This window comes from Homo sapiens, chromosome 17 (genome assembly GCF_000001405.40).
Source record: "Homo sapiens chromosome 17, GRCh38.p14 Primary Assembly".
Taxonomy (NCBI): Eukaryota; Metazoa; Chordata; class Mammalia; order Primates; family Hominidae; genus Homo; species Homo sapiens.
In genome coordinates, this window is record NC_000017.11 from 54,094,874 (window position 1) to 54,116,883 (window position 22,010).

A 22,010-nucleotide genomic window follows, 5' to 3' on the forward strand; every position below is an offset into this window, starting at 1 on the left:
AATAAAATACTAAGCTTAACTTGAAATCTTCCAATGGCAAGCTTCGATATATCAGGCTTTAACATACATTTTCTTGTTGAATCCTTCATATAGTTGTAGGAAGTAGTTCATTTGCTTATAACCTCACAGCTTTTTCTATACTGTTGTTGATTCCTTCAACAAAAATGTATTAAATACCTGTTATATACTCAATATGGTACCAAAAAGGGTAAATCTGCTTTAGAATGTTTTAATAATTTCCCATTTTTCTTATGTTTAGAACCAAAATTTCTAATATGATGGGTTCCTTCCTACCTCTCCAGCCTAAACTTATGCAGCATTAGAAATTGTCCCAAGCATCCTAGCCACGATGACCTTCTTGCAATTCTCAGAATTATTAAATTCTATATTGCAGATGTAGGGGAAGAATAACTTCCCATCTGCCCTCTGAGGGATCAATAATTAAGTCGATGAAATAAACTGACAACAGGCAGAGTAACATGAGAAAAGGTATACAAATTTATTATATGCAAGGAAACATCACATGAAAAAAATCAAATACTCAAAAACCCAGTGAGATCTAGAAGCTTAGGTGCAAATCTTCCTAGCGGAGTGTGAGGGGGAGAAGTAGGCAACTTAGAACAGAGTAAATTATTTTGTCAAGATGAATAGGCCCTCAGAAAAACACGTGAAAGCCTGTGACAAAGTCTGTCTGGGCATAGTGTGGACCTCTAGCTTCCTCTCCTGTGATACAAGCTGATCTTCCCTGGTTGATGAGATTCCTGGGAAGAGAATTTACACAGTTGAGTTCCTTTTGAAGGACCTATCTTTAGGCAGACAGAAGAAGTTCAGAGAAAGCCTCTTCCTGCATTTACCATTCCCCAAGTATGCTTAGTTTGAAGTAATTTGCATACCAAAACAATATATCTTGGGTAGCATTCCTGAACTCTTTCATAGCATACACTCCATAGTGCTTTTTAAGTGCTGGGTGCTATTCATAATAGTTTACAAATATTTACTATTTTAATTATAACAACCACCTTTAGGGTGGGTACCATTAAAGCCAATTTATAGAGGAGGAAACTGTGGCACAGAAATTAAATAGTTTGTATAACGTCACACAGCTTAAATATTATGCATCAAGCTCTCTGGTCAAGCATGCCCTGACCTCCTTTGAACTTGATCTATTCCCTGCCAGTAACATACCTTTTTCTTCAGACTGCAGATGAAGTTACTCTTCTCTGAAAAGGTTCTTCCAGTTTATTATTTTTTTTTTGTACATACTCATATAATTACATTTGTTTTCACCTTTGCCCGGGAAATGTGCAATTCGTGGAGGGTATGTGTTCACCTCCATATCCCTAGCATGGTATTTGCCACATAGTAGGCACCCAACTATGTGCTGAATTAATAAATTTGGATTGATTAAATAAGTGTATCAGGTACCACAGTGCATACTATCAGGTATAATCCTTGTCCTCCAGGAGCTCTAAGCCTAATGTCAAATACAGACAAGGGAACACATGATTATAACCTGACATAATAGCTGTAATGATTAAACACAAGTGACTGCAGAGCACAGAGGAAGGCAATTCATTCTGTCTGATGATCTGAAAGGCTTTCCAGATTCTATGACATATAGGGAATGAGCAGAATTTCTAAGGGAGAAAAGAGTTGGATGGGGTGGTTTCCTGGGTAGAAGGAACCCCTTGTAAGGTACAGACATAAAAGCAGAGGGTGAGATATGACATAGAGATAAATTGTTTATGGGTGAATTGGAGATGGCATTGAGAGAAGTGGTGAAGAATGAAGCTTATTTTGAAGTTTAAGGTCAGTATTATGAAAGATGACATAGCCTGTGCTAAGAGTTAGAATCTGGTTGTATAGAGAGAAGGAAACGATAAGTAGTATAATAATTTTAAAAGTATTTTCAATGTGCTTTAGAAAGATCAATCAAACCACTAAATGGACAATTATTCCTCTATCTTTGAATTTGGTTTTTGTAGTATTAATGCAAATTTCAAAGGGTACTCCAAATAGCCCAATTTAATATGAGTCTTAGGACATCAGGGCTAAAGAAGATTGAGAAATGATTGAAATGTTTCCTGGTATCACAGTAATTTGCAACAAATCTCTGTAATTTGCATTACGATACATGCCAAGCTGCAGTATGAGACAGCCACAGGTCATCCCCAAGCCCTGAGTATGCTGTATCTGTTGCATTTATATCTTCATTTCATGAAGTCTTTCAAATGATATACCTAAGACCAATTGAATTCCTAATCATAAGAATTCCTGTCTTTACTGAGTTGATCACCTCAATATGTTTGTGAAGTCAGCTTTTTTTGTTGTTTTCAATAAAACAAGATTAGGCACAAACCATTTTAAAAATAATAGAGGATGCAAATAGTTCATGGACAATGTTAATGTTCATTAACAATAGAATATAAACCAAACTAAGTAGATGTTGTGCAACAGTCTCCAGCTTTGTCCTACTACTGGCCAAGACAGCTTTAACATTTCCCTCAGCTTGACTAAATTTAAGTAAGCTTCTTTCTGACTTCAGTCCCTGCCCTCTCTTTGCTTAAAACATTAACTTTAGAAACTTGCGATTGTAAATTCCTCCTCTGCCCATTAGAGATATAAATTTTCTACAACCTAGAAATATCTTTCTCATCAAATCATCAAGAAAGAGTGGGCTCCTTTCTCCCAGTTTCTGAGGGACCGTAATAGCCTAATTTAGATAAGTGACAATCGGCTAACGCAAATAGCCTAATCATTTTAACCAACCTCCCCCATCCCAATGTCCTCTTGTAGTTTTCCGTTAGCTCACGACAGCATTTAAATATCTTCAGCAGAACTGTTCAATCTCTCTCTTCTATTGCAATGGCTATGATATAAATACTATGTCTTTAAAAGTAATATAACTTAGTTTTTCCCTACAGTTAATTATCAACAAAATCACACATCAGAAAAGCTTGCTTTAAAAACTTGCAGGTAGATGCAACGTCTAATACTAAATAATGAAAAAAGCAAGATTCTTAAAACTCTGCAACCTACCTGGGTCAGTCGGTAGCAGCAGCAGCCTTTATACTTATTCATTTTCAAACATTTGTTGAATCCCTTACTGTGTGTTAGTATTGTTTTTAACATTTGGGATATATCAGTTAATTAAACAGATAAAGATCCTTGCCCTCAAGGATCTTACATTTTAGAAGAGAAGAGCAGACGGAACAGAAATGTGACATAAAAATAAATTATAGATTATGTTTTACAGTGAAAAGTTCTATGAAAGAAAAAGGAAATTAAAGCCAGGTTAAGGGATGTTTTAATGAATTTTACTTGGAGTAAAATAGGAAAGCTTTACAGGATTTTTAATATGGATGTGACATGATTTTACCCAAAGTTTTAAACAAAATAGATAATTCTGGATGCTGGGTAGAAAATAAGCCATAGGTGGAAAAGGTTAAAAGTAGGAGATCAGATGAAAGTTACTGCAGTTTATCCAGGAAAGACTTTAGCACAAATGTTAATAATAGGTCAGGCGGTATGTAGTAATATGTTCTAGATATATTAACAATCAAGACAACAAAGTTTCCTAAAAGAGAGGATGTGAGCTGTGGGAGAAAGGGAGAAAGAATAATTAAAAGCTTTTTCGCTTGAAGCAAGTAATATGCAGTTGCTATCAATTGAGATGGAGAGGGTTGCATTTGGAATAGCATTTGAGAAAAAGACTAAGAGTTAAGTTTGGGACGTGCAGATTTTTACGATTTGAATGTATTTCAAGAGTAGCTATTGATTTGGAAGTTGAATATATGATCTTGGAGTTAGGAAGAACTGGGTAGGAGAGATAAATTTGAGAGTCACTGACATATAAATGCTATTTTAAAACCACGAGGTAACACCAAGGGAGTGAGAGAAGAAAAGATGAAGAATGACTGAGGAATGGTCCTTGGTCATTCCAAGTTTCAGGAATGAGGAGGAAGAGGGGAGAGGAAAGAGGAAAGTTAGGAGAAACACTAGGAAAGTGTGACAATCTGCAAGTCAAATGAAGAAAATATATCAAAAAAGGTACAGTGAGCCTTTGGCTCAGATATTGCTGATAGGTGAGTGGAATGATAATTAATAATTGATCATTGGATTTGGCAGTGCAGAGATCATTGATGGCTGTTACCACATTCGTCTTGGTGGAGTTGGATAAATACCTGGTTGGAGTAGATTTAGGAGAGAATGGGAAAAAGGATTTAAAGGTAAGCAGTATTGCTTAAAGCTGTCAAAAGAAGCAAATAATTGGAATAAGTGTGCTGGCACTTGAGGAGGCAAGTTAATTTTGTTTTGTTTTTATAATATGGTAGAAAAAGTGATATGCTTGTATGTTTTGGGGAATGGTCCACTAAAGAGTGAAAATTTGAGGAAATAGAAGAGAAGGGAACATTGTTACTGCAATGTCCTGGAGGATGCAAAAAGAAATAGCATCAAATATAAAAGGAGTGGGCAGTTAACTTTACATAGGAGCATGAATAGTTCATTTATGTGAACAGGCAGGATGACAGAGTAGGTGGCAACAGATGCTGGAAGGTGGGTAGCTGTGCTGATGAGAGTCTAAAAAAGTTCTCTTCAGATTAATTCAGCATTTCAGTGAAGTAGGAAGCAAGGTCTTCAGCTAAAAGTGAGGTAGAGGGTTTGTGGAAGTATAAGCAGAGAGGAAGAGCTATGAATTACTGTCTAAGAGATGGGAAAGGGAAGAGATTATCACCTTCATGACTAACCCTCAATAAAATTTTACTGTACTAAATGTCAAGCTGTCATATCTTGGTTAACCTCTATAGCAGTAGTGTGAGATAATTACTATTATTCCCATTTCACAGGTGAGAATACTGAGTCTCAGAGAAAATAGACAACTGTCCCAAGTTACATAGTTAAAAAACGATGACATTAATATTCAATTTCACCCTATATGACTTCAAACATGATGCTTTTAATTACTTTGCACTGCTTCTACATGTTCCCTTGGGCATACAAGTGTCTCAGAAGAATTAAAAAATATATAAATTATCTCTCTTTCTTGCACATGATAGAATATACTCACATCACATTTGGTTATTAAAGTCATTTAATGAACATTTCATTCTAAAAAAATATGCTACAGAAAGAAATACTGTAAGTTCAAACAGAAGTAACTGACTTCCTACCATTACCTCTCTTGATATGTAAACCCACATTCTAATATTTTAACATTGCATATGTTAAGAGGTGGAGAATATTATAGCATTAATTTCAAGGATCCATATATTATACTTCCAGCAATACAATCTAAGGTTATATTTGATGTTTAACAGCTGATTACTATAAGCTTTTCTTGCGTTTAATAGTTGTATTGATTATGGCTATTTCCAGCAGCAAGTAACAGAAAAATCCAAATAAATGTGGCAATAAAAAGAAAGATTTCACCTCCTTATATTATGAGAAGGCTAGAAATAGATGCAGCTAGCTTTGATTCAGCATCTCCAAAATATTAGCTCCATCTCTCTAATTCTCTTAACTTTTTTTCCCTCATGCTCACAGGATTACTGCTGCAATTCCAGGCATTATAACCATTGAGACATAAACAAAAAGGAAGAGAGAAATGGTTGCCACCATCAATAGCTGTCTTATTAATTAAGAAAACAAAAGCTTTACCAAGAACCTCCTTCCTCATAAACATCTATTCACATTTCATGAACCAGAAATGGGTTGTGTATCTACTATAGCAGGGAGGGTGGCTGACAAAACATGGCCAAGGAAGGATTGGGAATGGGTGTCGAGCTTATCAACCAGAATACCTGCTTCAGCAGTCATTTTAATATTCTAGATATGAAATTTTTACATGATCTTCTGCTGAGCCAAGGCCTCCCATCTTCTCTATATATAGCTTGATGATGAAATTTAAATTGTAAGGCTTTGAATTCTTTCATTAAAAAAAAAGTATTGGATTCTGGCCAGAATTCTCATTTAATGATAAGTTTGAGCCTTGATTGATTTTTCTCCTATAGTGAGATCCTTTCTATCTTTCTATTAATATCACATGCAAAAATAATAAGTGCTTTTGTATGTCTATCAACATCTTAAAACTCTGGTAGGATCATAGTCATGTGCTAGTAAAAAGGAAACTGGAATAGCAGACAAGGATTGAGTAAGGAATATTGGAGTACAATAGTAGCACAGTTGCAGAGAAATCAAAATAAAGAAAATAATGTAATATATACAATGTTATCTCTTTTTTTATTATTTTTCCTCCATCTACTTCAAATTAGATTGAAAAAAAATTACAAAAAAACACATTCATACTTCATATGAAAGGTGAACATAAATGTGTTTTCACCTTTTGGTCGCTATATAGATGTTGTTCTATGTGTTAGGACTGTGGTGCAAAAACTAAGATGGTAATAATTGTAACTATAAGCTGAAACTTTTTTTTTTTTTTTTGAGATGAAATCTCACTCTTTCCCCCAGGCTGGGGTGCAGTGGTGCGATCTCAGCTCACTACAACCTCGGCCTCCAAGGTTCAAGCAATTCTCCTGCCTCAGCCTCCCAAGTAGCTGGGATTACAGGCACCTACCACCAGGCCTGGCTAATTTTTGTATTTTTAGTAGAGATGGGGTTTCACCATATTGGCCAGGCTGGTCTTGAATTTCCGACCTCAGGTGATCAGCCTGCCTCAGACTCCCAAAATGCTTGGATTACAGACATGAGCCACTGCGCCCAGCCAAGTTGAAACTTTTTAATGCTTATTTTCAACCAGGTTCATAGTTCTAAGTGCCTTAAAAATATTGGCCATGCGCAATGGCTCATGCCTGTAATCCTAGCACTTTGGGAGGCTGAGTGGGGTGGATCACTTGAGGTCAGGATGTCAAGGCCAGCCTGGCCAACACGGTGAAACCTTGTCTCTACAAAAAATACAAAAATTAGCCAGGTGGCATGGTGCATGTCTGTAATCCCAGCTACTTGGGAGACTGAGGCAGGAGAATCACTTGAACCTGAGAGGTGGAGATTGAGTGAGCTGAGATCGCACCACTGCACTCCAGCCTGGGTGACAGAGCGTGACTGTCTCAAAAAAAAAAAAAGTATAAAGTATTAACTAAGAGGTTTCAGACAAGTTGGTCAACTAGACACAGTCAGGAAATGCCACTACCACTGAGAGAGACTACATTATCCAGTAAACCACCAAAACTCAGGCAGATCTTCAAGAGAAAATGCTGAGCGGATGGACAGATGACACTGAACCTGAGGCTGAAGAGGGAGGAATCTGGGGATCCTGCACGTGGTACCTGAAATCCGGGTCTAGTTCCTGGCCACCAGTGGCTCCTGGGTAAGGGTTGAATAAGGGAACTGAGGGCCAGCTTACTCTCACCATGGACCTCTGGGATCCTAGCTATAGGGGACCATGCTCATGGACCTGTGAGCTGGCAGGGGTATCTCCTTGGGGAGCAGGAAGAGACAGGCCTTCAGCCAGCAGAGAGCCCAGGAGATTTTGTGTCCTATGCAGCTCCAGCAGAGAGCTGCCATCCCCAAGTGGCCCCTATGCCCTTCTGGGAGGCACAGGCCACATCTGACCTAGAAGCCAGGAGAGAGTCGGGACTGCATCCCCACAAGACTGGGGCATGTCTGCTCTGCAGGCCATCCTGCCAGCTGGCCTCTCCTAGGGTCTATGCTTAGCAGTCTGCAGGAGCAGGTGCACAGTGCAGCCCCTGAAGCTCATCCTGAGGGCTGCATCTGAGTACCTTATCAGTGACCCAGGAACACATTGGATTCTTCAGCATAACCAGAATCACAACAGGAGCCTCAGGATGTGTCCATGCCCCAAGGCTGGAGTGTGCAGCTCTGGAGTACTGAGATGAGATCCGTGGCTGACACTGAAGCCAGGGAGGAGCCTCCATCCCCATAGTACTGAGAGAGGCAAGATGCATGAGTTACTGGCTTGGGGTGGGAGCTGGGTGTACCTCCCTCCGTAGGGCCAATTTAGAGTGTGGTATTCTTTCCAACCACAGCTTCTGCCCAAGGGAGCCCCATGGCTGGGAACACCTAACAAAAGAAACACAGGTACAGAGCCAGCAATTGGAGGGATTTACCCTAAGGCCCAGTAGTGAACCTGGCAAGTGGACCATCTCTCTGCCTCACCAACCACAGAGCATACCTGTGAACCCAAGGAAGTGCAAAAGAGTAATGGGCTGGATATTAACCTAGTTACAGGCCATTATTCTTATGTACCATCTACTGGATCACAACCCTAACTATAACATCAAAACTTTGTCCCGCTAATGTATACACCTGTGAGATAAAGTGCAAGATTTCACTGAAACATAAAGATCCTGTACAGAGCCCTGGTCCTCTGAAAGCAATCGGAAATGAAGCCAATGGACTATGCTCAACTTAAACCACAGTTAAAGGAACACCAACTATCCCAGATGAGAAATAATCAGTGCAAGTATTCTGGCAATCCAAAAAGCCAGTTGTCCTCTTACCTCCAAATGAGTACATTAGCTCCCCAGCAATGGTTCTTAAACAGTTGGAAATAATTAAAATAATAGGCATAGAATTCAGAATCTGGGTGGCAAAGGAACTCATCAAGATTCAGGAGAAAGCTGAAACTCAATCCAAGAAATTTAGTAAAACAGTTCAAGAGCTGAAAGGCAAAATAGCCATCCTAAGAAAGAACCAAACTGAATTTCTAGAGCTGAAAAACTCACTAAAAGAATTTTATATACAATGGAAAGTATTAACAGCAGAATAGACCAAGCTGAGGAAAGAATCTCAGCACTCAAAGACTGGTTCTTTGAATCAACTCAGTCAGACAAAAATTAAAAGAAAAAAAAGAATTTTAATAAATGAAAAAAAATTCAAGAAATACAGGACTATAAAAAGAGAGGACATATACATCCCATTGGTATCCATGAAAGAGAAGGAGAGAGAATAAGCAACTTGAAAAATGTTTTTGAGGATACTATTCATAAAAATTTATCTAATCTCACTAAAGAGCTTGACATGCAAATCCAAGAAATAAAGAAAACCCTCACTTCATGCTGTACAAGATGACCATCCCCAGGGCACATAGTCATCAGATTCTCCAAGGTCAGTGCAAAAGGAAAAATCTTACAGTTAGCTAGACAGAGGGGTCATGTGACATACAGAGGGAACTTCATCAGGCTAGCAACAGACCTCTCAGCAGAAACATTACAAGCCAGAGAGACCAGGGTTCCATTTCCAACATCCTCAAATAAAATAAATTCCAACCAAGAATTCATATTCCTCCAAACTAAGCTTCATAAGTGAGGGAGAAATGAGGTCTTTCTCAGACAAGCAAATGCTGAGGGAATATATATCAATTAGACCAGCCTTATAGGAAGTCCTTGGAGAATGCTAAAGATGGGATCAAAAGAATGATATCTGCTATCACAAAAACATACTTAAGCCCACAGCCCAGAGGCACTATAAAGAAACTACACAGTCAAGTCTACATAAAACTAGCTAACAACACAATGACAGGATTAAAATCACACATATTAATGCTAACATTGAATATAAATGGGCTAAATGCCCTCACTTAAAAGACAAAGAGTGGCAGTCTGTATAAAAAGACAAAATTCAACCATCTTTTGTCTTCAACACACCCATCTCACATGTAATGACACACATGGGCCCAAATTTAAATGATGTAGAAAGATCTACCGTACAAACAGAAAACAAAAAAGAGCAGTAGCCATTATTCTTATATCAGATAAAATCGACTTTAAACCAATAAGAATTAAGGAAGACAATGAAAGATATTACATATTGATAAGGGTACAATCCAACAAGAAGCCTTAACTATGCTAAATATATATGCACCCAACATAGGAGCACCCAGATTTACAAAACGAGTTCCTCTTGGCCCATGAAAAGATTTAGGCAACCACACAATAATAGTGGGAGACTTTAACATCCCATTCACAGCTTTAGACAGGTCATCAAGACAGAAAACTGACAAAGAAACTCTGGACTAAGTCCAACAATTGACAAGCTGGAACTAATAGACATCTACAGAACACTCCATTCAACAACCATAGAATATCCATTCTTCTAAGTGCACATGGAACATATTCTAAGATTGACTACATGTACAGTTTTAAAGCAAGCCTCAATAAATTCAAAAAAGTTGAAATCATACCAAGCACACTATCAGACTATGGTTGAATAAAAAGATTAATGAAACCCAGAGTTGCTTTTCTGAAAAAAATAAAAATAAACAAGATTTAGACCACTAGCCAGCTTAACAAAGAAAAAAAAGAGAAGATCTAAATAAGCACAATCAGAAATGACAAAGATGACATTACAGTTGATCCCACAGAAATGCAAAAGATCTTCAGAGAATACTGTGAACAACGCTGTGCACACATATTAGAAAATCTAGAAGAAATAAATCGCTGGAAGCACACAATCTCCCAAGATTGAATCAGAAAGGATTAAAACCTTGAATAGACCAATATCAAGCTCTGAAATTGAATAAGTAATAGAAAACATGCCAACCAGAAAAAGCCCTGGACCAAATGAATCCATAGCCAAATTCTACCAGATGTACAAAGAACCGGTACCAATTCTACAGAAACTAGTTCAAAAAATCAAGGAGGAGGGACTCCTTCCTAAATCATTCCATGAAGCCAGCATCAGCTAGTACCAAAACCTGGCAGATACACGACAAAGAAAGAAAACTTCAGATCAATATCCCTAATGAACATAGACACAGAGTCCTCAACAAAATACTAGCAAACTGAATCTAGCAGCACATCAAAAAGTTAATTCGCCATAATCAAGTAAGCCTTATTCCTCGGATGCAATGTTGGTTCAACATATGCATATCAATAAGTGTGACTCACCACATAAACAGAATTAAAAGCAAAAACCATATGATCATCTCAATAGACACAGAAAAGGCTTTTGAAAAAATTCCACATCCCTTCAGGATTAAAACCCTCAATAGACTAGCTGTCAAAAGAACATACCTCAATATAATAAGACCATCTATGACCAACCCACAGCAAACATCATATTGAACAGGGAAAAGCTGGAACCATTCCCTTGGGGAACTAGAACAAGGCAAGGACACCCACTCTCACCACTCTTATTCAACATAGTACTGGTATTCCTAGCCAGAGCAATCAGGCAAGAGAAAGAAATAACAGGCATCTAAATGGGTAAGGAAGTCAAACTATCTCTTTACTGACTATATAATTTTATACTTAAAAAACCCTAAAGACTCCATCAAAATGCTACTGGAACTGATAAACGATTATAGCAAGGTTTCAGATTACACATCAATGTACAAAAATTAGTAGTATTTTTATACACCAATAACATCCAGTCTGAGAGTCAAATAAAGAACACAGTCTCATTTACAACACCCATACATAAAAATTAAATACCTAGGAATACATCTAACCAAGGAGATGAAAGATCTGTACAAGGAGAACTACAAAACACTGCTCAAAGGAATCAGAGATGACACAAATAAATTTCTTTAAAAAAATCCCATGCTTATGGATTGGAAGACTCCACATCATTAAAATGGTCATAATACGCAAAGCAATTTACAGGTTCATGCCATTTCTATCAAAATACCAATGTCATTCTTCACAGAATTAGAAAATCTATGCTAAAATGTATATTAAACCAAAGAAGAGCCCAAATAGCCAAAGCAATCCTTAAGCAAAAAGAAGAAAGTCAGAGGCATCACATTACCTGACTTCAAACTATATTATATGGCTAAAGTAACCAAAACAGCATGGTACTGGTGCAAAAACAGACACACAGACCAATAGAATGCAGTAGAAAATTTAGAAATAAAGCCACACACCTACGACCATCAAGTCTTCAACAAAGCTCACAAAAACAAGCTATGGGGGAAGTCCTCTCTATTTAATAAATGGTGCTGGGATAACTGGCTAGTCATATGTAGAAGAATGAAACTGGACCCTTTTTTGTTATATACAAAAATTAATTCAGGGTGGATTAAAGATTTAGATGCAAGGCCTCAAACTATAAAAATCCTAGAAGAAAATTTAGGAAATATACTTCTCAACATCAGACTTAGCAGATAAATTTTGGCTAAGTCCCCAAAAGCAATTTTAACAAAAACAAAAATTGATAGCTATGACCTAATTAAACTAAAGAAAGTATTGTACAAAAGAAACCATCAACAGAGTAAACAGACCTACAAAATGGGAGGAAATATTCACAAACTATGCATCTGACAAAGGTCTAATATCGAGAATCCATAAGGAACTTAAAGAACAAATAACCCCATTAAAAATGGGGAGAGGACATAAACAGACATTTCTCAAAAGAAGACATACAAGTAGCCAAACAAACATTTTTAAAAAATGCTCGTCATGACTAATCATCAGAGAAATGCAAGTCAAAACTACAGTGAGGTAGCACCTCATACCAGTCAGAATGGCTATTATTAAAAAGCCAAAAAACAACAGATGCTGGCAAGCTGAAGAGAAAAAGGAACACTCATATACTGTTGGTGGAAATGTAAATTAGTTCAGCCACCATGGAAAGCGGTTTGAAGATTTCTCAAGGAACTTAAAACAGAGCAACCATTTGACCTAGCAACCGCCTTGTTGGGTATATACCCAAAGTAATACAGATCATTATATCAAAAATACACATGCACTTCTATGTTTATCACCATGCTATTCACAATAGCAAAGACATGGAATTAATCTAGGTGCCCATCATAGGAGGATTGGATAAAGAAAACATGGTATACATCCACCATGGAATACTATGCAACCATAAAAAAAAATGAAATCATGTCACTTGCAGCAACATGGATGGAGCTGGAGGCCATAATCCTAAGTGAATTAATGTGGAAAGAGAAAATCAAATATTGTGTGGGAGGTAAACATTGAGCACACATGGGCATAAATATGGGAACAAAAGATACTATGGTCTACTAGAGGGGTGAAGGAGGAAGGGGGAAATGGGTTGAAATACTACCTATTGGATACTATGCTTACTACTTGGGTCCAACACACCTGTGTAACAACCCTACACATGTACTTGGTATATCTAAAATAAAAACTAAAAATTTAAAAAGTATATTAACTAACTCGATCCTCATAATAATCCACAAAATGGATGGGTGGCTATCGCTCACCCATCTCATTTCACAGATGGGGCACAGAAATACTGATTAATTTTCTGAAGGTCACACAACCCATAAGAGGCAAAATTATAATTTAACCCCAGGAAGTCTAGCTTGAGTCCATGTGCTAACCTCTACACTAAATGCCAACACGGAGGTGGTGGTTTTGTTATTCTGTTTTGGATTGCTATAATAGAACACCACAAACTGGGTAATTTATATTTTTAAAAGAAATTTATTTCTTACATTTCTGGATGCTGGAAAGTCTGTGATCGAGGAGCCCACATTGGGCAAGGGTCTTCACGCTGCATCATCCCACAGCCAAATGCGTGAGGGCAAAAGAGTGAGAGAGAGCAAGAGAGGGTCTAACTCACTTTTATAAGAAGCCCACTCTTGCAATAACTTACTCCACCAATAATGACACTAATCTATTCATAAGGGCAAACATGACCTAATCACTTTTTATTAGGCCCTACCTCCCAAAACACTGTTGCATTAGGGATTTCATTTCCAACCCATGAATTTTGGGGTACACATTAAAACCATGGCAGTGGTTTAAGCCAAGCACCAGATAACCTTCAAACAAGTCTCAACACATTTTGGCAAAATAATACAACAAATATCAATGAAAACTTTAACTAAGGAGCAATAACAAAAGACTACATGGACATTACAATTTATGAAATGAGACTTAAAGATGAATTTAATTTTACTAGGCAAGAATCGTTTAAAGATACAGGGACCTAGGAAGAATAAACCTCATGATCAATGGCATAACATTGAGAACTTCGGAATGTCAGGTAAAATTCAGCGTCCACCTTGTTCTGCATGTTAAGGGAATAGTAGGAGATACACCTATCCTGGCAATCACACACACAGCAATGACTGTGGGATCAAAAAATCCAAGTCTCAATGCTGCTACTTATGCACCAGATGAACTTTGTCAAGGTCTTTAATCTCTCTGGGTCTCAGATGGGAATGAAAAGTCCACCTAATATTTTATTTGAAAGATTAAGTGAGAGTGTAAGTGTTCAAATTACTATTAACTAAAGCTAGGCCTGAGTGAAAAATAGGCTAGGACATTATTATGGAGAGATGTGAATTTCAGGCTGAGGAGATGCCATTGAAGACCTCTGAGAAGGTAAATAAAAGAGTAGCATGGTTAGAATTGTCTAAAGTTCAATCCAGTGCTCAGTATAGAAGGAGGTATAGGATATACAGGAGTGTGATAGGGCAGGGATCAGGAGAAGACTGGGAAATATTAAAACTGGTTGAAATATAGTGAAGACCCATATTCTAGTTCTGGCATTTGGACCTGAAATAAAGACAGACATTTCAGAAACACTACAGAAGCAGATAAAAATAATTTCACAATTATTTTGGATTTAAAATGGAGGGAAAAAAAAACCATCAGTGATTCTGAGACCTCAAGCCTGAGTGACTTGGAGAATAATCATGCCACCATCAACAAAACAAAATTTTGAGGAAGAAAAGCCCTTTTTGGGGAAAGGATAAATTGTATTATGATTTTGATCTGTATATATTGATTTTAAGGAATCGATAAGACACCCTGGTTGAATTGTCCTGCAATCAGTTAGTTATATGCATTGGGAGCACAGGAAAGAGGAAGTGGCAAGATAGAGGGTGTGGTAAAGAGAATAATGAACTTTTAGTGATATCACATCCTAATATCAGACCAACAAATAGATTACAGAGCAAAACGGAATTAAAGTTGGAGATATAATTAAGGTGAATAATCAGTTGACCTTAAAATAGGGATATTATCCTGGATAATCTAGCTGGGCTCAGTATCATAAAAAAAATTCTTAATAAAAAAGGAGAAAGATGAAGAGGAATTTGCAGTGAAGTGATGTGAAAAGGATTTAACAAGCCCATTCAGGCTTTGAGGATGAGAAAAGGGGTCAAAAGACAAGGAACGTGGCTTTTCTAGAACTCAGAAATGGTAAAGAAAGAGATTACTTATTAGACCCTCTCAGAAGGAAATGCAAATGCCAACAGCTTGATTTTTAGCCCAGTGAAACTCAGGCAGACCTCTAAACTACAAAACTTTAAGATAATAAATGTGTGTTGTTTAAGCCCCTAAATCTGTGCTAATGTGTTACAGCAGCAAACATGAACTAATATATAGTGATTTTTGGAATATTCAGGATGAAGATAATAATCAGGAACATTGTGATTCCAAACACTTCCTGAAAGTGGCCTGTGAAACAAAACTGCAGCTTTTTGAGAAAGCAGGAGTTGTAAGTTGTAAGTCCTTAGAATAAGTGTAGAGATATCTTGTTCCTGTACCAAGTTATTCAGAACCTTGGGAGTATACCAATCAGTTCATTTGCTGTGTAGAATCTTAATCTTGCAAAAAGGAAGTCAGCACGAATTATCTGAATTTATTCCAGGGTTCATTTTTATCTCCACTATCATCATGCATGATTCATTTCAGCACTGCAAGATAAAGAATTTCTGGTCAGGGATATTGACTCATGCCTGTAATCCCAGCACTTTGGGAGTCCAAGGTGGGCAGATTGCTTGTGTCGAAGGATTTAACACCAGCCTGGGTAATATGGTGAAACTTTGTCTCTACAAAAAATATAAAAAATTAGCTAGGTGTGGTGGTGTGCACCTGTAGTCCCAGCTATTCAGAAGGCTGAGGTGAGGGGAGACAGTAAGCAGAGATCCAGCCTGGGTGACAGAGCAAGATCCTGTCTCAAAAAAAGAAGAAGAAGAAGGAGAAGGGGAAGAGGAAGGGGAAGAAGAGAGAGGGGGAGGTGGAGGGGGAGGGGGATTGTTGTTGTTAAAGTTTCTTGTCTTGAGGAGAGGAATAAATTGATCAAACTTAGACAACTTAAGCCACCACTGAAAGAATGGAAATAGAAAATTTAGAAAATTTCAAGCTTCTCCTTTCCAGAAACTTGCATTCTATTTTCTGGAAAGATCCAGCTAATATCTCACAGCATTCAACATGGGCTGCATAACTTATTTTGTGTCCTAGAGTGTCAGTCTTTGTTGCAGAGGAGATGTGGAATTGTTTGTGTTGATTTAAAAATAAAAACTATAGCCGGCCAGTCACGGTGGCTCACGTCTATAATCCCAGCACTTTGGAAGGCCGAGGCGGGTGGATCACAAGGTCAGGAGATAGAGACCATCATGGCCAACAAGGTGAAACCCCGTCTCTACTAAAAACACAAAAATTAGCTGGGTGTGGTGGTGCGCGCCTGTAATCCCAGCTACTCAGGAGGCTGAGGCAGGAGAATCACTTCAACCAGGGAGTTGGAGGTTGTGGTGAGTTGAGATTGCACCACTGCACTCCAGCCTGGCAACAAAGCGAGACTCTGTCTCAAAAAAAAAAAAAAAAAAACACTAAAGCCAAATTAAAATTAAATTTTAAATAGTTTAATTGAGCAAAGAACAATTGATGAATCATTCCTCTTTTTTACAGCCCAGATATTTTATTTCCTACAGCACCAGCACATAAAGCTGTGTCAGGATATCAGATTTCTTTAAGAGGTAGTAAGAAAAAATATATTTCAAAATACTTAACTACACCCTTCCCAAGGTTATAAGAAAAAGCACAATACCATTAATTAACTTATGAAAGTCACTTTATTAGCAAATCCCAGTTTTTAGCCTTATTTTCCTTCATTCTAGAAAAACAGCACATTTCTCCTTTTCAAACCAACACAGAAGAAATTTCTATCCCAATTTAGTTACTCTCCCACTCATGCCATCTCCAATCTCCAGCTCCACTCGAGAGCATGGGTGGAACCAAATTTAGCCAATACTTATGCCAGGAAATGTGGTAAGAGAGAGAGGGAAATCCAAAGCTTCAGCATAATAGTCAAGAGTAGACTTTAGCAAACCAAGTTCTGCCACCTTTGAAGTGAAGAATGAGGATTCTTTTTGCTTCTACAATGGGTAAATACTGGACTAAACATAAAACAAATAAAAATAGCTTTCACATGACAAGTATTAATTCTTGGTGACTATGCAAATAGTTCCAGAAAAAATAATATTTGGCATATATGCCATTGATATACTTACTCTTTTCCACAGTAGGAATCATAGTTTATTTATATTATGAGAGATCTTCAAAAGTTAATGGAAAATGTAATTATGAAAAAAACCATGCATCGATTTTAAGAATTTTGCACCAAAATAAACTCATACTAACTTGTTGTGACATGTCTGAATGGGGTCTAATTTGAGGCACTAAAAAGGATAAGACATTAGTTTGAAAAGAGCCCTTATCAGAGCAACATGAATTTTACCAAAATTGAAGCAAAAACAACAAATTTATGGTGAAGCTTGGGTGGAAGAATGATGAAGTCATTGATGCTTTACAAAAAGTTTATGGGGACATTGCCCAAAGAAATCAGCAGTTTACAAATGGATAACTTGTTTTTTAAAGGAACAAGACAATGCTGAAAATAAAACCCTCAGTGGCATACCATCTATATCAATTTTCAAGGAAAAAATTAATCTTATTCATGTCCTAATTGAAAAGGACCAACAGTTAACAGCAGAAACATTAGCCAACACCATAAACATCTCAACTGATTCAGCTTACACAATTCTGACTGAAACATTTGAGCACACTTTCTACTCAATGGGTGCCAAAACCCTTGCACCCAGATCAGCTGTAGATAAAAACAGAGATTTCAATGGAAATTTAAACAAGTGGGATCAAGATCCCAAAGCATTTCTTTGTAGTTGTAAAAGGAGATGAAACATGGCTTTACAAGTATGATCTTGAAGATAAATCACAATCAAAGCAATGGCTACCAAGAGGTGGAAGTGGTAAAATCAAAGCAAAAGCAGACTCATCAAGCGTAAAGGTCATAGCACAGTTTTTTGGAATGCTCAAAGCATTTTCTTCATTGACATCCTGGAGAATAAAAGAATCATAACATCTGCTTATTATGAGAGTGTTTTGAGAGAGTTAGCCAAAACTTTAGCAGAAAAACACCTGGGAAAGCTTCATTAGAAAGTCCTTCCCACCATGACAATGTTTCTGCTCATTCTGCCTGTCAAACAAGGGCAATTTTGCAAGTGTTTTATGGGGCATTATTAGGCATCCACCTATAGTCCTGATTTGGTTCGTTCTGACTTCTTTTTGTTTCCTAATCTCAAAAAAATTTTTAAAAGACAGACACTTTTCTTCAGTTAATAATGTAAAAAAGACTGTGTTGACATGGTTAAATTATCAGGACCCCTAGTTCTTTATGGATGAACAAAATGGCTGGTATTACCACTTTTAAAAGTGTCTTAAATTTGATGGAGCTTATATTGAGAAATAAAAAATAAAATTTATATTTATTATTTTTATTTTTTAATTCCATTTTCCATGAACTTTTCTTTTTTTTCTTTTCTTTTTTTTTTTCCTGAGGCTAAGTTTCACTCTCTCACCCAGGCTGGAGTACAGTGGCACGATCTCAGCTCACTGCAACCACTGCCTCCTAGATTCAAGCAATTCTCTTGCCTTAGCCTCCTGACTAGCTGGGATTATAGATGCCTGCCACCACACCCGGCTAATTTTTTGTATTTTTAGTAGAGATGGGGTTTCATCACATTGGCCAGGTTGGTCTCGAACTCCTGACCTCAACTGATCCACTTGCCTTGGCCTCCCAAAGGGCTAGGATTATAGGCATGAGCCACTGCACCCAGCCTTCATGAACTTTTTGAAGTTACCTTGTAATATTTGAAAATCTTCCAGGGCCCTTCCAATGCCAAAAACACACACCTTTTTCCCCTGACCCTCTGTCAGTCTTCTGAATTTAAAGCTGGGCTCTGGGACTTACCAGTGTGAGAATGTATGTCCACTAATGTTTAGATAGATATTGGACAAAAATTTTCAAATTTACATTTTTCACTTCTTGGGCGATGTAAATTCATTGTCAACAACTGCATTCTCACCTGACTTTAGAAGAGGGTATATCTCTCAAACCCTGTGGGTGAAGTATTCATTCAGATGGAAACAGTATGCTGACAAACTTCTCCTGATGAGTTGTTTGTTTATTTTCTGAAATGATGACATTAATTGGCCAAGAAGGAGAGCACAGTGTGCAGGAAACACACAGAGGGAGTTGAAAGGCTGCTTCCAACTGCTCACTGTCCTTATTGGAAATCCTCATGAGCCTCAATGAAGGGTATATCTACTTCAGATTGCCCCTTTTTTCTCCTCTTTGGGCTATGTGATCTATGATTGCAATTAGCTTGGACATCAACATTGTAAATATGTGACAGCTAATGGTTGCGTGGTATAAACACTTATAAGATATGCTAAAACTGACAGCTTTAATGTAATCAACTCCATGCAGCAGCCACCTTGTAGGGCTGTAGTTTTGAGTATAGAACATCTGGAGTTACACTTTAATTGGTGGTTGTAATTGTTGCACAGCTGTTTGTAACAGTTCTAGCTATGTTAATCACGACTGCAATGATGCTTATCGGGAAGCAGCACTAGAGTCCAATTCATGAGTATCAACAGTTGTTGATTCAGAAAGTCACATTGTGTATTTCCTTACTTAGCATCATATAAAAAGCACACAGAAAAGAATAAATGAAATAAAAAGTTCCAATTCATCCATCTGTAAGTGTGTTTGAGTTCAGAAACATTAACAGATTGTTTCCTGAAATGTACAACCAACCCACTCAAAATGAGGGCCCATCATTGTGTTGCCGGAGACTCTCTGTAGAAATATGGGATAAAGTGTTGTTAACCTTCCATTAAAAAAATAGTATCTACCAGAATATCCCTGAAGAACTGAATGTGATATATGACACAGAAAATAAGCCACAAGTTTCATGAAAAAGATGAGAACCTCCATGCTCTAAACTGGAAAGGGAGTATTTGTTTTTTTCTTCACATGCATAATGGATTATCAGTGTGATAAAAGTGTTCAAAAAGTTCCACACCTAGCATCAAGTCAGAATTTCTACTCTGCTGCTACAAATGTGGACATCTTGAGCAAGTCATTTTGTGTTCCTAAGTTTCAGTTTTCTCATCAGTAGAATGAAAGAATAGGATTCGATTGTTTGTGAAATCTCTTCCATCTCTCATATCTTTTGTACAAACTTGACTGTTAATTTTAATTTTATTTTTTTTACCAGGTCACCCAAGAGCTCTGATCTGACTTTTTAAAAGCTACTTACTCTCCTGAAGTTTCTAGTTACCAAATAGAAAGACACAAAATTCAGAAAGCTAGGGCTCAACAATAGGAGAATAATGAAGAGAACTTTCAGGATAATGGCTGTAAAACAGGTCCCAGAAAACACCTAGTTCAGGTGAGAGCCAGTAACAGGAGTTCACTAAGAAGGAGTCTCCCAGCAAACTATCAACGAATGCTTTGAATAGAAGGAAATTACTGATAGGTACTGGATAAAGCCATTGAAACATCTGGATAGAAGAAATGGTAATTGATGCCCTCAAAGAAAGCAAATGGGGAAAAAAATAGCATATGAAATTTTAACCAAGAAAGGAAATGGGTTTGTGGCATGCTTTTTAGATCAACAATGAAAGTAATAAGATGGCCACTGATTTTTGATGGAACAAAAAAGCTGAAGGGTAACTGTTTTGAAAACAGAGGAAAGAGAAATTTAGTGTGGAGGTAGGTAAAGGAGCTGAATGTTTATCCACTGTCTTCCAACTAGACTGTAATTTCTGGACAATGTCAAAGTGATAATGTCTAAAATGGATAAATCAAGACATTAAAGAGCAAGTACATTATTTAGAAGATAATAGCAGAAAATACAAGAAGAAACAACAAAAGTAAACTAATGAAATAAAAATAAATTGGTTTAGGGGAGTACGGTTGTGGGGTGGGGTAGATAAATTTTTATAATTGATTTGTCATAATTTTTTATCTGTTATAAGCCTTTTAAAATGATGTGTCTTTTTGACATATATATATTATTGACATGTATATTTGACACATTTATATGGTTTACCCTGAAAAGCAATATTTAGTCTGAAAGTAAATAAAAACTTCACTCCTGCTTTTAGTGATAAATACAAGTCAGAGGCATTAAGAGACTGAGCATTAGTTATGGAATTTCACGTTTCTGGGAACAAATATTTGGAAACCTCAGGGTCCTCAGGGCTCTCTTATTACACCTTCCCATGAACAAGTCACATTCCTCACCATGATTTTGTATCCCTTCTGTTCTCATTGTCAAAAAAATCTTTCTTCCTCTCCTTGTGTGCCTACTAAATTCTTTTTACATTTAAAAAAACATAAAAAATATTTATAAAGCTTTTTGGATTTAACCTTTCCTATTTAGCACTTTTAATAATGTTGATGTGGCAATTTGAAATTTGCAAAACCCTTTTCACTTCATTTATTCATTTATTACTTCATTTATTTTTCATTTGGGCCATTTATTTGTTAGTGCAATACATTTCCTGAGTTTCTACTCTGGGTCAATTACCTAGACAAGAACTGGTGTTAAAAGGCCAACAAAGGAGTTTTACTGGCCTCATAGCATTTCACATTTTCAGGAGGAGGCAATCAAACACAGAAAGTATGCAGATTAAGGATATTTGTGCTGTTTGTGGTTGTTTCTGTTTGTTTATTTCAGTCTTATGATTGAGATAAAAAATGTGATGCATGGTTTCTGGCTTGTATATTAGAATCTCACTGTTTCTGTAATGAATATGTTTCAGCTCAAAATATATAATGAGACAAAAATTCATCCATAACTTTATGATTGATTAATCTAATTTCCTTAAGAAAATGTAGCTCGATTTAATCTTCTTCTTTTCTCTTCTCGTCCTCCCTCCCCCTCTCAAGCAATACGCCAACTAACCAACAGGCTGCCTTGCTGCCTCTGCTCTGACCCGCAGAAATGGTCC